Source organism: Homo sapiens, chromosome 6, assembly GCF_000001405.40.
Source record: "Homo sapiens chromosome 6, GRCh38.p14 Primary Assembly".
Lineage (NCBI taxonomy): Eukaryota > Metazoa > Chordata > Mammalia > Primates > Hominidae > Homo > Homo sapiens.
In genome coordinates this window covers 106,353,874-106,371,252 of record NC_000006.12, presented here as the reverse complement: position 1 = coordinate 106,371,252, position 17,379 = coordinate 106,353,874, and the positions used below count along the sequence as shown (strand labels likewise).

The 17,379-nt window shown below is 41.6% G+C and overlaps 1 protein-coding gene across 2 annotated transcripts in view, besides 3 other annotated features; it reads right to left on the bottom strand.

Moving 5' to 3' along the window:
• Positions 1–10,536, bottom strand: part of CRYBG1 (crystallin beta-gamma domain containing 1) — a 211,301-nt gene extending 200,765 nt beyond the window's left edge. For both annotated transcript variants that reach the window (XM_047418270.1, NM_001371242.2), the window contains exon 1: positions 10,172–10,536. In XM_047418270.1, the coding sequence (XP_047274226.1) occupies positions 10,172–10,344 (173 nt within the window). In that variant the 5' untranslated portion in view covers positions 10,345–10,536. The remainder of the gene's footprint in view (positions 1–10,171) is intronic.
• Positions 9,664–10,530: an enhancer, noted in NCBI's record as "H3K4me1 hESC enhancer chr6:106808598-106809464 (GRCh37/hg19 assembly coordinates)". NCBI's record gives its function as "activates a minimal SCP1, AML or CMV promoter by ChIP-STARR-seq in primed H9 embryonic stem cells {active_cell/tissue: H9 hESC(primed)}" and the evidence as "EXISTENCE:reporter gene assay evidence [ECO:0000049][PMID:30033119]".
• Positions 10,426–10,505: a silencer, noted in NCBI's record as "silent region_17432". NCBI's record gives its function as "represses an Ori minimal core promoter by ATAC-STARR-seq in GM12878 lymphoblastoid cells {active_cell/tissue: GM12878}" and the evidence as "EXISTENCE:reporter gene assay evidence [ECO:0000049][PMID:35858748]".
• Positions 10,526–10,735: a silencer, noted in NCBI's record as "silent region_17431". NCBI's record gives its function as "represses an Ori minimal core promoter by ATAC-STARR-seq in GM12878 lymphoblastoid cells {active_cell/tissue: GM12878}" and the evidence as "EXISTENCE:reporter gene assay evidence [ECO:0000049][PMID:35858748]".

Here is a 17,379-nt window from a genome sequence, read left to right as displayed (position 1 = left end):
CTTTCATGAGATATTTATGAATCCATCAGTATTATGAAAACATTTAAGTGACAAATTATGAATACACTATATTACGTGTCACAGCACCAGCATTACTTCAAGCCTTGTAAAGGGAGTTCTTGCATAGGTACAATATCATACTGATAGGCTCTATCACTTTAAGTGACATTTTGTTGTTATAAAATATGGCTTGTGCAAGCTTTTTAAAAAATCATGAATTGAGTTATTTTTATTTTTGTTGGCTTTTTTTAGGTAGTAGGTGAGGTACTAATTATAGTAGAAACCCAGAAATTATCCAGTATGTCAATAACCAGACTATAGGTGCTGGCTGAATAACTAGTCACTCAATCTAGGGATCAGACAGTCTCATCGTTGTTAGTTTATGAAACTAAGGGAAGATTTCCAGGGGAATAGTCATCAGGAAGTCAGATGAGTCAGTTGGGCTCCTGTCAAAGGTGGGTACAGGCCAGGAGTGAAGGTATAGTACACAATGCAAGAGAACCCAAAAGAACAGCTAAGAAAAAATCAGAAAATCTGAGTTTTAGTCCTGCTTCCTCCACCTGCATTACCTTCCATGAACTTCAGTTTCCTTATCCTCAGAATGAGGGTATGGGCTTATTTCACAGAACCCTTATAAGCCTCAAGTGGGATAAAGTATCAGCAATGGTTTACAATCCTTGAAGTGTAAGGTCAATGTAAGGTGGAACCTGTATTCATTGCCAGGGAATCCTCAAGAATAAGTCAGGAGGTAAAACCAATGGATTCAAGCAGCAGGGCTTCTAGAGGCCTAAAGTTAGAGCAGCCAGGAGCAGCTTTCTGCAGCAACTGGTAAAGCAACTACTTGAGAAATTCTGCCATGCCTCTTTAGCATGGGCAGCAACTAGAGGGCCCCCCATCTACCACTTATCTCTGACCTTGCATTCTCCTGCCTGTGTCAGGGCAGAAGAAGGGGTACGAAGTAGGTCCACCTCTTGGTAATGCTTTTTTCTGACACAGCTTGGGCAGAAGCCCCAAACTCAGAATCTACACATGATACTTTCATTTATAATATATACTTTTGAATTTCTGTTTTAAAATCTTTTTTCATCTAAGATTTTAATGAACTTATATTTCTATTAATTAACATATTTCTTTCCACTATTTAACGTAGAAATTGTCTAGTACCAAAACTTAATTTATCATATGTATTTTAATTTCTACTTGTGAGATCTAGAGGCTAAATGAACTCATATAAGAATATAAAGAAAGCACCATTAACCACAGTGATTAACTTGCAGGGATTTACCTGCAGTGATTAACCACAAGGACTCAAGATCACCGGCTGGGGAATCCCAGCCTCACTCTTAATGAGCTCTGTGACTTTGACCAAATAATCATACCCCTCTGTGCCTGATTTTTCCTCAATATGGGACTAATAATAGTGCCTACCTCTGAGGAAAGTTATAAATTAACTGTAGTGGGTTAATATTTGTAAAGCACTTAGAACAGTGTCTGATACATAGTGCATATTGAATAAACTGCATCTCTCAATCAAATATTGATGGGAAACAATGTTTTCACAGACATGGTCTGAAGTTATTATAAAGCACATGCTTCCTCTATTTTCTTATCTTATATGCAGCATATATTATTTTGACCCTTGATCCTAATCATAAGATTAAAAAACGAATCCAAAGACTATCATGAGCTTATGCTACTACTTATAAACAAATTTGAAAAAAATTAAGAGGTGTACTCTGCATGGTGACTTTATGTAACTGTTGGCCAAATCTCATATTTGAGCTGTCGATATTACCTTTGGAATAAACCTAAATTCTAATGACTGAGACTCAGTTAGGGTTGCTAGCTTGAAATGGCACAAACAATAAACACAACCAGCAGCCAACTTTCTTCCCCACAGTATCTTTTGCCAAGCTTAACACCAACCTACTTTTACTCATTTAATTGCCATTTATGAGAAGGTAACAAACAAAAGGTACTTGTTAATTGTGTTTCTTTTTGTGTGTGTTAGCTATGGGTGCAACCTTTACTTGTCTATAACATGCCAGTGAGAGAGGTCGGGGACACTGCAAATGGATTCTGATTCTCTGCCCCATTTGTATGTCCTTGGGCCTCCTGGTACTTTGTCAAAATGTATGCTTTCATGAGATATTTATGAATCCATCAGTATTCTGAACACATTTAAATGACAAATCATGAATAAAATATATTATGTGTCACATTACTAGCATTACTTCAAGCTCTGTAAAGGGAGTTCTTGCATAGGTAACAATATATTGATAGGCTCCATCATTTTAAGTGACATTTTGTTGTTACAAATATGGTTCCTTCAAGCTTTAAATTTTTTTTGAAAACATGAATTAAGTTATGGTTGTTTATTTTTTTTTAAGTAGTAGGTGAGGTACTAATTATGGCAGAAACTCTTAAACTATTCAGTATCTCAGTAACCACACTATAGTATATACTGTATACTGGCTGAATAATTAGCAACTCAATCTAGGTCTCTGTTATGAGGGGTCATTGCTTCTCTTCCACTGAACGGAACAATCCAGAAGATGCACAGTGCTGTAAAGGCAGCACTAAGCAAGGGCTCACTCTCTAGAGGGAAGACTTCTCATATATTTGAATCTGTACAGGTATGTTGATGAGGCATTTGGGTTAGCCCAATGCAGCTATGTTTTAAGGCAACTGTAAATGAGCTAATGAGACTCATAAGCAATTCGCTGGTCATTCTTGCTAAGCTCCTCACAAGCATTAGACAGTCATACATCCTGTATCTTGAAAACTCACTTTGGGACAAGTTTTTCAAGGTAGACAGAAGAACACACCATTCAAGCTTCAAACGATCTTCTCATGTTGACCAGACACAGATTTTCAATACATAAATCACTTTTCTTCTGCATGGACATTCCTGAAACATAACTGACCCCTTAGCTGAACTCAAACTTTAAGACAGATGTGTGTGTGTGTGTGTGTATGTGTGTGTATGTATCTTTTTTAAGAGATGGGATCTCGCTATGTTGACCAGGTTGCTCTCAAACTCCTGGCCTCAAGTAAGTGATCCACCTGCCTCCACCTCCCAAAGTGCTGGGATTATAGGTGTGAGCCACCATGCCTGGCTCAGATATGTATTTTTAATGTTCATAGTAAGATATGTATTTTGAATGACTATTAGGAATTAGAAACTATTTCAATATCTAATATGTTTACTACATTGTTTTAATTGTGGACAAATACTACAGCAGCAACTCACTATCTCAGCTTACAAAAAAGATGTACTCATTTATTATTACGATTATTTTAGAGACAAGGTCTCACTCTGTCACCCAGGCTAGAGTGCAGTAGCATGATCATAACTCCTGGGCTCAAATGATCCTCCCACTTCAGCCTCCCCAGTAGCTGAGACCACAGGTGTGTGCCACCACACCTGGCTAATTTTTTTTTTTTTTTTTTGGATAAGCAGGGTCTGAGTTTGTTGCCTAGGCTGTCTTGAACTCCTAGGCTCAAGCAATCCTCCTGTCTCAGCATCCCAAAGTGCTGGGATTACAGGCATGAGCCACCATGCTGACCTAAAAATAAGATTTATAATCAAAAGCCATACATTCTGGCAAAACTATTAATGAAAAAGGGAGTATATATGTATTTGATTTTTTTTTTTTTTTTTTTTTAGACAGAGTCTGGCTCTGTTGCCAGGCTGGAGTACGGTGGCACAATCTTGGCTCACTGCAACCTCTGACTCCCTGGTTCAAGTGATTCTCCTGCCTCAACCTCCCAAGTAGACGGGATTACAGGCGTATGCCACCACGCCCAGCTAATCTTTGTATTTTTAGTAGAGACGGGGTTTCACCATGTTGACCAGGATGGTCTGGATCTCCTGACCTTGTGATCCGCCCACTTTGGCCTCCCAAAGTGCTGGGATTACAGGTGTGAGCCACCACACCTGGCCCAATATTTTTTTAAAAAAGAGCTAAAGAAGAAAAAAGAAGTGAACTCAAGTTTCGAAGGTCTTACTAAAGGTCCCCAAAAGGGTTTATGTCACTGCCACTTGATTATGGAGAGTAGATTGTGATGGAAAGTGTGGAAATAGAGGGGGGATAAAGTAATTCAATGACAGAGATAAGTGGCAAATGATTATCGTATGCTAAACTCAGACTCCAAAATCCCTTTGGGAAAAACTCCTGTAATGTCAAGTAGAAAGTTTAGCCTTGGCTTCCTCAGTGAGATATATTAAGACTTTTAAGGCACTGAGAGCGCATGAAGGGTCTCCCTTTTAGAGACCAACATGAACATCCAAATACTCAAAGGTACTTCAAAGCTTAACAGACCTGGTTACGACTTCTGGGCCTCTGAAGTTTTTACTCCACTCACAAAGTAACAATGTATGTATTAATACTACTACCATTACTATAAAGACAACAATAATTACAACTATCACTGCCAGTATTGCCCCTGCTACTGACCACCACCTTTCCTCTATCCAGCACTTGCTTTGAGCCAAGCCCTGTGCTGGGTGCTTTACATAGATAACATCCAATCCTCCTACAGCTCCATAAGAGAAGTGTAATTGCCTCCATTTTACAGGTGAAGAAACTGAGACTTAAAGAGGTTAAAAATCTATCCCAATGGCAGAGGCAGATTTGAAACTAAGTCTGCCCAACACCAAAGTCTACTATCCTTTGACTGTGGCATGCTTTCAGAGGTACTATTTACTGAGTTTCTGTTATCTGCCAGGTACTAGGCTAGTCATTTTTAAAAAATATATATTTATAACTCTCAAAAACAATGTTAAGAGATAGGTCACAGATCATACAACAGAAGTTATCGGGGTAAACTAACTTCCCAAGAAGCTCACAGCTAGTGGCAGACTTACTTTTAAATTACTGGTTTATCACTGGTGAAATAAAATAAACCTAAAAATTAAAACTCTTTCCTTTAGTATAAGGAAAATAAGAGGGAAAACTCAGTACTAACCAGTTTAAATCTAACATTACATAAAACAAAAATAGACTTACCTGGCTATGTTCTTTATGCTAGAAAATAATTAAACCTGTTTAGAGTTCTAAGCACCAAACCAGCCACAAAAGACTGGAAACTAGAATCAATTTTAAGTTACGAAGACTAACACTCTACAGTTCCAGAATGCTTTCAAATAACATTTTAAATGATTGTTCTTTTTCTGAAGAAAAAAGAAAAACGCTCCAGATAACAATAGTTTATCCTTACAACATTCTAGTGATATAAACAGGGAGTTAGTTGTTTTCTCTTTATAGAAGGGAAAGGTCCACTGAGTACAGAAAAACTAAGGGATTGTCTATAGTTCTGAAACTTGAGCCTGCTGGCCTTCACTCAGAGGTAGATCTCTGCCTGCCCAATGAGGATGCTCTGCCCTTGACACTGGCTACACTTTTCCTCCAACTGAAACAAGGCGAGCTGATTTTCACAGGATTATGAGACCCATCTACTGCTTGAATTTGGCTCTCCTGCAGGGAGCATTAATGCTTGTTTCTAGATGTGGAGTTCAATTCAGTTCAATGGTGATAATTTTTAATTCACTGCTTTTTTTAAAAAAAAATACAGGTTCTTAAACAAAGAACTCAATGGAAATAATTCACTGCTTTTGACCTTTAGCTAAGGACCCACTTCTAATCAAAATAACAAAAAGTATGGCCACATGTGGTGGCTCACACCCGTAATCCTAGCACTTGGGAGGCCAAGGCGGGAGGACTGCTTGAGCCTAGGAGTTTGAGACCAGCCTGGGCAACATAGTGAGACCCTGTCTCTATTTATGTTTTTTTTTTTTTGGTTTTGTTTCGTTTTGCTTTTTTTGAGACAGAGTCTCACTCTGTCACCCAGTCTGGGGTGCAATGGCACGATCTCAGATCACTGCAACCTCCACCTCCCAGGTTCAAGTGATTTTCCTGCATCAGCCTCCCAAGTAGCTATGATTACAGGCGTCCGCCACCACCCCTGGCTAATTTTTTGTATTTTTACATACATGGTTTCACCATGTTGGCCAGGCTGGTCTTGAACTCCTGACCTCAGGTGATCCACCCGCCTCCACCTCCTAAAGTGCTGGGATTACAGGTGTGGGCCACCACATGCAGCCTTTTTATGTTTTAATATTTTTACTATTTTTAATATTTAAAAAAACCAAAATAACACAAAGTGGCTTGAATAGATAAAAAGAAAGTACCACTTTCATTATATAGCAGAAAAACACACAAAATTCCTACTCCAAAGGAGGCATAAGCAAGAAACTAGTAAGAAAAAGAGAAACAACTCCCATTGGTTGAGCACATACTATGTGCCAACCACTGTTCTGAGCACTTGAAATGCATTAACTCGTTTATTTTTATAACAACTCTTATGATTCCCATTTTGTGAATGAGAAAATTGTGGCACAAAAATGTTAATAACTTTCCTAGGATGATAGGATTCAGTGTCATGGTAAGTATTAACAGAAGAACAAGAATTTAAATCCAAGTAGAGAATCCACATTCTGAGCACATTATTCACAAGACAGAGTATAATTTAAAATGTGGTAAATGACAGTGCCACTAGTGGCTGCTAAGTGGCCTGGCCACAGCTCGCCATGCTCATTCCACCACACCACTAGACCCTCTAATGGCAAGAGAATTATGGACTAGACAGGGGATGGGGCTGACTCAGGAGGGCAGCAACTCTATCTTTGTGAAAAATAACATCATATGACCATGTTTACCAAAACCAAGCTGAAAAAAAACTTTAAGAGTAAATTTTGGAAAGAGAAGTAGCCAAGTTCAAATTATTTCATATAAAGAAATAATTGATTAGAATGTCTATACCAAAAGCCACAAATATTTGCAGAATACGAAAATCTGACTTTAATAAACTTTAAATCATCTTTGGACTGGCAAGCTTTTCTTTCTTTTTTTTTTTATTTTTTGAGATGGAGTTTCACTCTTGTTGCCCAGGCTAGAGTGCGATGGCATGATCTTGGCTCACCACAACCTTCATCTCCTGGGTTCAAGGGATTCTCCTGTCTCAGCCTCCTGAGTAGCTGGGATTACAGGTGTGAGCCACCATGCCCAGCTAATTTTTTTGTACTTTTAGTAAAGATGAGGTTTCACTATGTTGGCCAAGCTGGTCTCAAACTCCTGACCTCAGGTGATCCACCTGCTTTGGCCTCCCAAAGTACTGGGATTAGAGGCGTGAGTGACCGCACCCGGCTGGACTGGTAAACTTTTCTAGGAAAAGATCTTCCTAGAGTTGGTTTTCCCCTATCCAAACCTATCTTTTCCATTTCTTCCATTAGACCTTTGCTTTGATGATGATGATGATGATGATGATGACCAGGATGCTTTTGCATTTACTGAGTTTCTACTTTGTGCTCAGAAGTGTGTTAAGGTTTTTGCACTTAATAACATAAACTTTCATTTAATATTCATGACAACCCTACAGAGTCAGCATCCTATTGTCTCCATATTACAGATGAGGAAATTGAGATTTTAAGAGGTGAAATAACTTGCCCAAGGTCACAAAGCTAGTAGATAAATTCATTTTTTTCTGACCTAAACACCCATAATATTAATCAAATAAGCAAATATGGGTGGCTACCTGACTGTCCCCTCCTTATTTAGAGACAAAAACCACAGTGAGTGCTGCACATTCCAGCCAAATTCCATCACTTCCAAGTCCTGGACAGAAATGAAGGGATATGGTCAGGAGGCTTAAGAGAGCCACACTGGGCAAACTGGCTTGAAATCTAAGGGTGCTTTTGCCACTCTCTTTAAACCAGAAAGAAGTACACTCTCTTAGAAGTAAATGAAATATTTATAAAGATGATCTAACTAGAAAAACATCCCAAAGACAGACTAGTACGTTTAGTTTTTCAGAACATTTATTAATACGAAGTTCATCACGGTTCTGAAGGAAAAAATGAAGTGTTTCAAGACTGCACTAAAATATAAAAAAACTCAAGGAGAGAAGCAAATCTCCTATTTTAATTTTTTTTTTTTTTTTTTTTTTTTGAGACGGAGTTTCGCTCTGTCGCCCAGGCTGGAGTGCAGTGGCGCGATCTCGACTCACTGCAAGCTCCGCCTCCCGGGTTCACGCCATTCTCCTGCCTCAGCCTCCCGTGTAGCTGGGACTACAGGCGCGCGCCACCATGCCCGGCTAATTTTTGTATTTTTAGTAGAGACGGGGTTTCACCGTGTTAGCCAGGATGGTCTCGATCTCCTGACCTCGTGATCCGCCCGTCTCGGCCTCCCAAAGTGCTGGGATTACAGGCGTGAGCCACCGCGCCCGGCCTCCTATTTTAAATTTTATACTAAAATGTATTTACATTTGAATAAATTACCTATAGCTGTGTATTATTATGTTTTGATAGACAGTAAATGATAAGACTAGATCTTAAAAGGAAAACCACGATGGAAATGTTTAAAATATTTACTGAGGTAATAGAAAAGAACTTCAATGTTGGGTACATTAAATACTGTATTTTGTTAGAAAGTATAATCTATAATTAGGCACAGTAAACGTTTGAATAGGTAATATATTTCTACTACAACTGATTACCAATGTGGATGATAAAATATGAGAGAAAAATAAAATGACTTCTTTCTTAGGTTTCCTACCCTTACCCACTCACACCTAGACCTCCCCGCTGCAACCACTTGCGCTTCTCAGGAAGTGCCACGCTCTTCTAAGTGCTGGTGATGTGCACAGTGCAGCCCCTGCCTGGAACTCGCTGCTCCTCCCTGTTTCTGCCTAAGCCACTTCACCTATCCTCCTCCAGGAAGCCTCCCTGATCCCCTCCTGTGTGCTGGCATCTATCATTGCATTTTTTGGTATCCACAAGAGACTAACAATTCTTTGATGACACAATTATTCCTGTCTCTCATTGTTTTTTATATCGCAGTACATGGCACTTAGCTAAGGTACTCAATACAATAAGTGAATGAAAATAGATCGTAAAATTGACTTTTTTTACAAATAAAAGGAGAGGCCGGGCGCGGTGGCTCATGCCTGTAATCCCAGCACTTTGGGAGGCCGAGGCGGGCGGATCATGAGGTCAGGAGATCGAGACCATCCTGTCTAACACGGTGAAACCCCGTTTCTACTAAAAATACAAAAAATTAGCCGGGCGTGGTGGCGGGCGCCTGTGGTCCCAGCTACTCGGGGGCTGAGGCAGGAGAATGGCGTGAACCCGGGAGGTGGAGCTTGCAGTGAGCCGGGATTGGGCCAGTGCACTCCAGCCTGGGTGACAGAGCAAGACTCCGTCTCAGAAAAAAAAAAAAAAAAAGAAAGAAAGAAATAAAAGGAAAACCATGTCTAAAATGCAAATTTTGCACAATTTTATTCTGGCCCTCATAGGGTGTATTTTAAAAACACATTTGGAAGGATTTACTGGACATTGTCAATTGTCCATCACTATAAATATTTCACACCTCTGAGCCATGTAAATACGCTGTTACTTCAAATTGATTATTATTCAACGAATGCATAAACTCTGATGCTATAGTTGAATAATTATACATATAGAATAAAACCACTTCAAAACCATGATAAAAATCAAAAAGCACAATGGTAACTACAGTTTTGATAACTAGGTGCTCTCTAGCTCTGCCACTGGCTCCAATGGGGAGAAGCCATTTATCCTTTGGTCTCAGTTCCTCCACCCATGAAATGGGGGTAACCATTCCTGCCACTTCCTCCTCCCTTCGTATGTTGCGAGGAGAATGGGGGTATAACATCTGTAAGAGCACAGATCTTACAGATATTCACAATAAAGAGCTTTACAATAAAGACACTAGCTCAAAAGCAGTGCCTAACCCCAAAGCAGAGTTCCCGCCATCATTTAGGACGGTAACAACCCTCACTCCCCGCCGCTCTGGTTAGCAGGCTGATGCGGGAGGCTCCTGCATGAAAACTTTGCAGTCATACTAAAGGCCACATGCGTGGGCACAAGTTCCTCTCGCCGGTGCTTGGTCTGAACCAAAAGCCGCGAGGAACCTCGTCAACCCCAGCGGCTACGATCGCTCCCCTCCGGACCCGGGTACCCTCCTGCGGACTGAAACAGACCCCGGGGCTTTCCCCTCCTCCAAGTGGGGTCAGGAGTCCAAGGGCTAGCGCAGCAGGAGAAGGAGGAGGAGGAGGAGGTGGGACTGGAGGGCTCGGGCGAGGAGCTCACCTGGCCTCTCCGGCAGGCGCCGGGAGCGGGTGCGGAACGAACACCCCACAGTCAGGCGGCGCCGGCTGCTGCTTCTTTTTGGAGCGCCAGAGGTGGAAGGTGGTGTGCTTCTTAGGGGGCCTGCACGGGCTGGGCTCCCCGGGGTCGCCCTGGGCTGGCGGGGACAGCGGCATCGTCTTGTCCTCCTCCCGCTCCGACTGCCGGGACGCGGTCCTCTCTGCCGCCCGGGCCCTATGGAAGAACACACCTGAGCGCCAGCTCGCCCGCCTTTCTCAGCGCGCCGTGGGACCCCGCCCCCTCGTCGCGGATGCGGGGGGACGGCCGCGGGTTGCAGAACCAGCACCCAGCGCAGCGCGAGCAGCACTGCAGCCCGAGCTGTTGGGGCGGAGGCGGGGACCCAGCCGCGGAAGAGCGCCCCCGCGCGGCGCGGGCGGCAAGGGGCGCTAGCCCAGGTGAGGCGCTCGCGCCGGGAGCCCCAGGTGAGGCAGACACGCCCCGGCTCCCCACCCCGGGGGCGCGCGGCGGCCGTGGGACAGCGACACCTACTGGATGCTCTGGGCACCGCGACTCCCGACACTGCATCCCAGGCTCTAAGATGGGACCCAGAGCCGGGTCGGGCTTCCACAGCGCCTGGGGTGCAGCGGCCATTGTCGCCTGCGGAGTTGTTGGCCGCTCTTGGCCTGTGACAGGCTGGCAGGGTGAGTCGCTGCTTAGCCACGAGCCCCGCCTGGAGAAGGATGGGAGAGGCACATCCCGGGGCTGGGCCGCCCAGCAATTAGGACTCTTCCACTCTGATCTCTGGGTGGCTTGGGCAATGTCATGTGCTGGTGGCTTCTGTTCCTGTTCGTGAACACGGGTGGCAACTCCGCCAACTCGTCTCCTCTCTCAAGAGTCTGAATAATTAATTTGTACTCACATCTCATAAAACACAAAAGGATTAAAAAAATTAAAAACGCCAGAAGGGAATTAGGCATATTCCCCAATTCCCCAAGAGCTTAATAGATCCCTCGCAGTAAATTAAATGCCAGTCCCACAAGGTATTTACATCATCTGCATTACTGTTGATGACTTTCTTGTCTTAACTTCACAGTCGTGGCTAAATAGCAAAGGAAATTAATACTTAAGCAAAGTAAGTAAACGAACAATTATTTTGGGCATCATTAGAGCAAAGAAAGTGCAAGAACTAAGCACTACTTAAAAATTCAATGCAGTACAAGATCCTCTTTCACGGTAATGTCTTTATTTTCCTCTTTGAAAACACAACTCATTCATTCGTTTATTCACTCATTCAAGGAACATTCATTTTTATTTGTTTTTATTTACATTTTTATCAAGATGTAATTTATAGACAGTAAAATGCACAAATCATAAGGGTAAAACTCAAATTTTTACATATTTATGTGGTTGGGGTGTGAAAAGTTTTTTAATGGAGAGTTGACATTGTCCTAGAAAATTCTTCCGTATGTGGCTTTTAAATGTATGATTATAGGCCAGGAGCGGTGGCTCACGCCTGTAATCCCAGCACTTTGGGAAGCCGAGGCAGGCAGATCACTTGAAGTCAGGAGTTTGAGACCAGCCTGGCCAACATGGTGAAACCCCTTCTCTACTAAAAATACAAAAAAAAAATTAGCTGGGCGTGGTGGTGGAGGTGCGCCTGTAATCCCAGGTACTCGGGAGGCCGAGACATGAGAATCGCTTGAACCCAGGAGGCAGAGGTTGCAGTGAGCCGAGATGGCGCCACTGCACTCCAGCCTGAGCAACAGGATGAGACTATGTCTCAAATAATAATAATAGGTAAATATATATGATTATAAAAATATAGAATACTTTCAAAACTTTAAAAATCTCCCTACTGTCCTCTTCCAGTACATTACCCCTCCCACCTGTAAAAGTTAACCATTATTTCATCCTCTTTTGCTGGAGATTAATTTGACCTTTTCTGGAATTTCATTTTAGTGGAAAATCACAATATGTACTCTGTTTCTGGTTTGCTTTGCTCAATATTAGTCGGTGAAAATCATCTATATTGTTGCTTATATTGTAGCAGTTTTTTGTCTTGTTTTGTTTGAGACAGGGTCTCACTCTGTCACTCAGGTAGGAGTACACTGTTACCATCACCTCTCACTGCACTCACTGCAGCCTTGACCACCTGAGCACAAGTGATCGTCCCACCTCAGCCTCCTGAGCAGCCAGGACTACAGGCACACACCACAGGACCGGGCTTTTTTTTTTTTTTTGGAGGGGGTACATTTGTAGAGACTGGGTTTTTCCATGTTGCCTAGGCTGGTCTCGAACTCCTGAGCTCAAGTGACTTGTCCGCCTCAGCCTCCCACCAAAGTGTTGAGATTACAGGGGTGAGCCCCTGCACCTGACCCATAGCAGTTTTTCATTTAAAAAAATTATTGTATACTGTTCCATGATATGAATATGCCACAATTCATTTATCCATTATTGTGGATGGACATTAGGTTGTTTCCAGTTTGGGGCTATTATGAATAAAATTGATATGAACCTTCTGAGATGTACACATTCATTTCTGTTGGATACTTATACCCGGAAGTTCAATCGTTGGGTAATACAATATGCATATGTTCAGCTTTAGTGAATTCTGCCAAAAAAGTTTCCCATTTATATTCTTTCTAGCATGTTTGAAATTTCCAGTTTTTCAATATCTTCATCAACACTTGATATTAACAATCCTTTTCATTGTGGCCATTCTGATGGGGATGTGGTGGTATCACATTGCAGTTTTAATTTATATTTCCTCAAGAAACAGTTATTGAACTTATTGAGTACTGTACTAATTATGTGCCAGGCCCTGACTTGGGGGAGGAGGCAATGACAGATGCATAGATTATATCATATATATATATATATATATATATATATATATATATATATATATATAAAATCATCTGATATATATATCATGTGATATACATATATATGTACACAAACACACATCAAAGGCTAAAAGAATCAGTGGTGGTATGTACAAGGTATTAGGGGAGTTTAGAAAAGTTACTAACTTAGCGTGGTAGTTTGGAAGGGAGGAAGGGGAGTGGTCAGTAAAGATTTACTATGAAGATGGCCCTTGGATTGAACCTTAAAGGGCAAAGGGAACAGTAAGAAAAGGCAAAGAAAAGGGAAAGGGAAGAAGGGAAAAGAGAAGAAAAGGGGGAAAAGGGACAAGAAGAAATCTTTATGCACACTCAAAAATATTTCTACGTTCAGTAACTTAGTCTTTCATTCCTGGCTTTTCCAAGCAGAATTTTTCACTCCACCCCTCCTTTGTGCCACCAGTGAATCAGAAACATATTTTTGTTATCACACCTTTCAGGTTGCATCAAACTGGTTTACATTTCTATATCTCCTATTAGCCTCAGAGAAACTTAAGAACATTTCTCATTTATTCTTATATTTTCCAGACGCAAATGTCCAGTAAGTAAAGTAAGTAATCAAATGAATTGGTGTACTCACTCAGTTGGACACCTAGGATGTTTCAGACAGGTCTTTTTTTCTCTTTTTTTTTTTAAGAGATGGGGTCTCTCTATGTTGCCCAGGCTGATCTTGAACTCCTGAGCTCAAGTGATCCTCCTGCCTCAGCCTCCCAAAGTGCTGGGATTACAGGCATGAGCCACCATGCCTGGTCTCAGACAGATTTTTTAAATTGTACACTTCATAAGAAAAAATCTTACAAGTCTCTTTTTCTCAATTATGTCCTCAATGACTAGCACAGCGTATGGCGCAGTGTAGGCACTCAACATGTATTTGTTATAAGAGTTAAGAAAGTAGAACTCTGCATAGAAGGATAAGACACAGTACCTGAGAGTAATGTAGTGGGAGAGACAGATACTTAAGAAAACATGAATAGTGAAACTTGGTAAGTGTCCTAACCAATGTGGGTCAGTTGTTGTTTTTCAGTCACTGCAAGAACGAATCCACTCAGACTTATTTAGGCAGTAAATTAACCTACCACGGGATTTTAGGTGGCCCATAGAATATTCGACAGAGCCAAACAGCAAGACTGAAGCCCAAGCATCCTCAACCACTCCAGGTAGCTGTTTTGACAAACACCACTCTTACCATCTCTCAGCACTATGGGCTACATGACAGCCACTCTGCCACTGGCCACCCCAAGGATCAAAGGCCTCTTCACACCCATCTTACCAGAAGATTAATTTCCTGCCTCACACCCATTACCAGCGCATGTATTGCTCACTTCAAGCAAAAAAGTTCCCTGCAGGTACATCTGATTAGAAGAGCCTAAGTTATTTAACTGTTTCCTAGCTACAAGGGAAATTTGGGATCTGGGGCTTCTACCTCAGAGAAATGGAATTCATGTGGCTAAAATTTGCCAAACATAATGGAGGTATTCAAAATAGGCAAGGCAGCCAAAAGTGTGAACAGTGGTGACTGCTGGAGGAATGGGCAAAGGGCTACGGGAACACAGAAGAAATGACTAACTCTTCTGATTGGCTCAAGGAAGTCATCAGCAGGGAGGTGACAGGTTTATGAGCTTAACTAATGCATAAGAATTTGCTAGATGAAGAAGAGAGGGTGGACAGTCCAGGAAGAGTAAACAACATGGGCTGAGGCCCAGGCTTGTGAAAGGACATGCATTGCTGGTGAGGAATAATCAGAAGCTCAGTGATGCTGGAGAAGAGAGGGATGGGGTGGGGCAAAGTGGCAGGAAGTGATTCTGGTAAAATCAGGTATAAATCATGCATAGATGATATATATCAAAGACTAAAAGAATCAGTGGAGATATGTACAAGGCTTTATGGGGGTTTAGAAAAATTACTAACTTAGTCTGTAGTTTGGAAACGAGGAAGGGGAGTGGTCAGTAAAGATTTACTGGATTGCTAAGCACTTGGTAAGTCATGCTTTTAAGGAGTTTGGACTCAGTTTTGTAGGCACCAGGGACCCAGCTTACATTATTAAGTAGAGGAGTGACACGAACAAACTTGGGTTTTATAAAAAGTACCCTGGATGGAGTGAACTAGGAAGAAACTAGGAGAGTGAAACTATTTGAGGGAGACCAGCTAAGAGGTTGGTGCAAGAGGTCAGGTAAGAGGTGATGGGATCCCCTACCAAGGCAGTGGGATAGGAATGGAGAGGAGGGGATGGACACAAGACACATGTAGAAGATGGAATCACCAGGACTTGTAGTGAGTGAAGAAGAAGCCATCAAAGATGACTATGAGGTTAGGTTTCCAGCTTAGCTAAATGGATGGAAGAAAAGCCATTAACTAAAAAACAGAAATATAGGAGAAAGAAAGATCAGGTTCTCTGGGCATGAAAATAAATTAAGTTTTAAACACATTGAGATATGGCGTCTATATAGGCAGAGAGGTCTAAGAACTCATTGAAAAATATGGTTCTAGAGATCATAGTTCAGGACTACATATGTAGATTTGGACATCATCACTGGATAGGTGGGAGTTGATGCCATGAAATTGGATGAAATCCCCCAGGGCAAATGTGCAGAATAAGAATAAAAAAGGAACAAAGATAAAATCCTGGGCAACAGGAACATTTAGGTGTCTTGCAAGTAAGGGAGAGCCTACATACAACAGAGGCTAGGTACAGCAGCTGGAGACGTAGAAGGGTATCTGGGCAGAGTATTAGCCCTTTGGCCAAGGTCATGTGATTTCTATGTTCAAGCTTTGTGCTCTGGCCGAGACCTCTATCTTATAATGCTTTTTTTTTTTTTTTTTTTTTTTTTTGAGACAGAGTCTCACTCTGTCTCCCAGGCTGGAGTGCAGTGGCGCGATCTCGGCTCACTGCAAGCTCCACCTCCCGGGTTCAAGTCATTCTCCTGCCTCAACCTCCAGAGTAGCTGGGACTATAGGCGCCCGCTACCACGCTTGGCTAATTTTTTGTATTTTTAGTAGAGACAGGGTTTCACCATGTTAGCCAGGATGGTCTCGATCTCCTTTTACTCCTCTCCCTCTATCTAGCAATCCGAGATCCATTTCAAAATTTCCCTTGCTTTTCCAAGAGGCCAACTTTCTCCAACCTGCACAGATTTTTTTTTCTTTCTCTAACCTTCTATTATAGTTTCTATCTGAATTTAAGTTGACATTGTGGTAGATTATTAAAATGTCCACAATATTTTTCCCATAAAGAAGCAAAGTTTATTTTTTCACTCGTTAATTCAGGGCTGGCCATGAGACTTACTCTGGCAAGTGAAGCATTAGCAAATGTAATGCAAACAGAACTTGAGAAATGCTTGTACCCCAGGCCTTACCTCTTTGCTTCCCTTGCAATCTTGCTGCCATGTGAATGTGCCTAGAGTAGGCAGCTGAATGAGGAGATCTGTGTGGCCAAGTCACCCCCCATCATCCTCAGCCAACAGAGCCAACAATCAGAAATAAGGGTGAGGCTAGCTGAGACCAGCCAGCCGCCAATGAAGCCACAAACTGGTTGCAGACACGTGAAAGAGCCCATTAGAGATCAGCTGAGACTGTCCCAGATGAGGACTTCCCAGCAGAATCATAAGCTATAGCAGTAGTGTTGTTTTAAGGCACCAGGATTTTGTTTTTGTCTAAAAATATTTGTTACCCACGGGAACATCACACTCTGGGGACTGTTGTGTGGTGGGGGGGAAGGGGGAGGGATAGCATTAGGAGATATACCTAATGCTAAATGACGAGTTAATGGGTGCAGCACACCAGCATGGCACATGTATACATATGTAACAAACCTGCACATTGTGCACATGTACCCTAAAACTTAAAGTATAATAATAATAAAAAAAAGAGACTAAAAAAAAATTGTTACCCACGAAACCAGGATAAAAATAATTAAAAAATAAATAAAATAAAAATTTAAATATTTGTTGAAAAAAAAATAATGACCTAGCATGAAGTCAACAAACAACCAAACCAATTCTGAGCACTTTTTGTATCTTAACCTCAGAGATATACAATGAATGGAAGCAATGAAAAATCTGAACTACTACATAAAGATTCAATTATGTTCAAGCTACTTAATAAGAAAATGCATCTTAGCCCAAATTAGCTGTAACATCTCTAATGAGATTATAGAAAAAAAAAAACACAAAAATCACTTCTAAGATGAAGTAGAAAAAAAAGGTGCAAAGTGTTTACCTGCATTAGGTGAATTAAAAATCTATTTAAAAATTATTAAATCATTTTGATAGATAGAACAGGGAATTCTTGAACTGGTCTTCACGTCAAAAA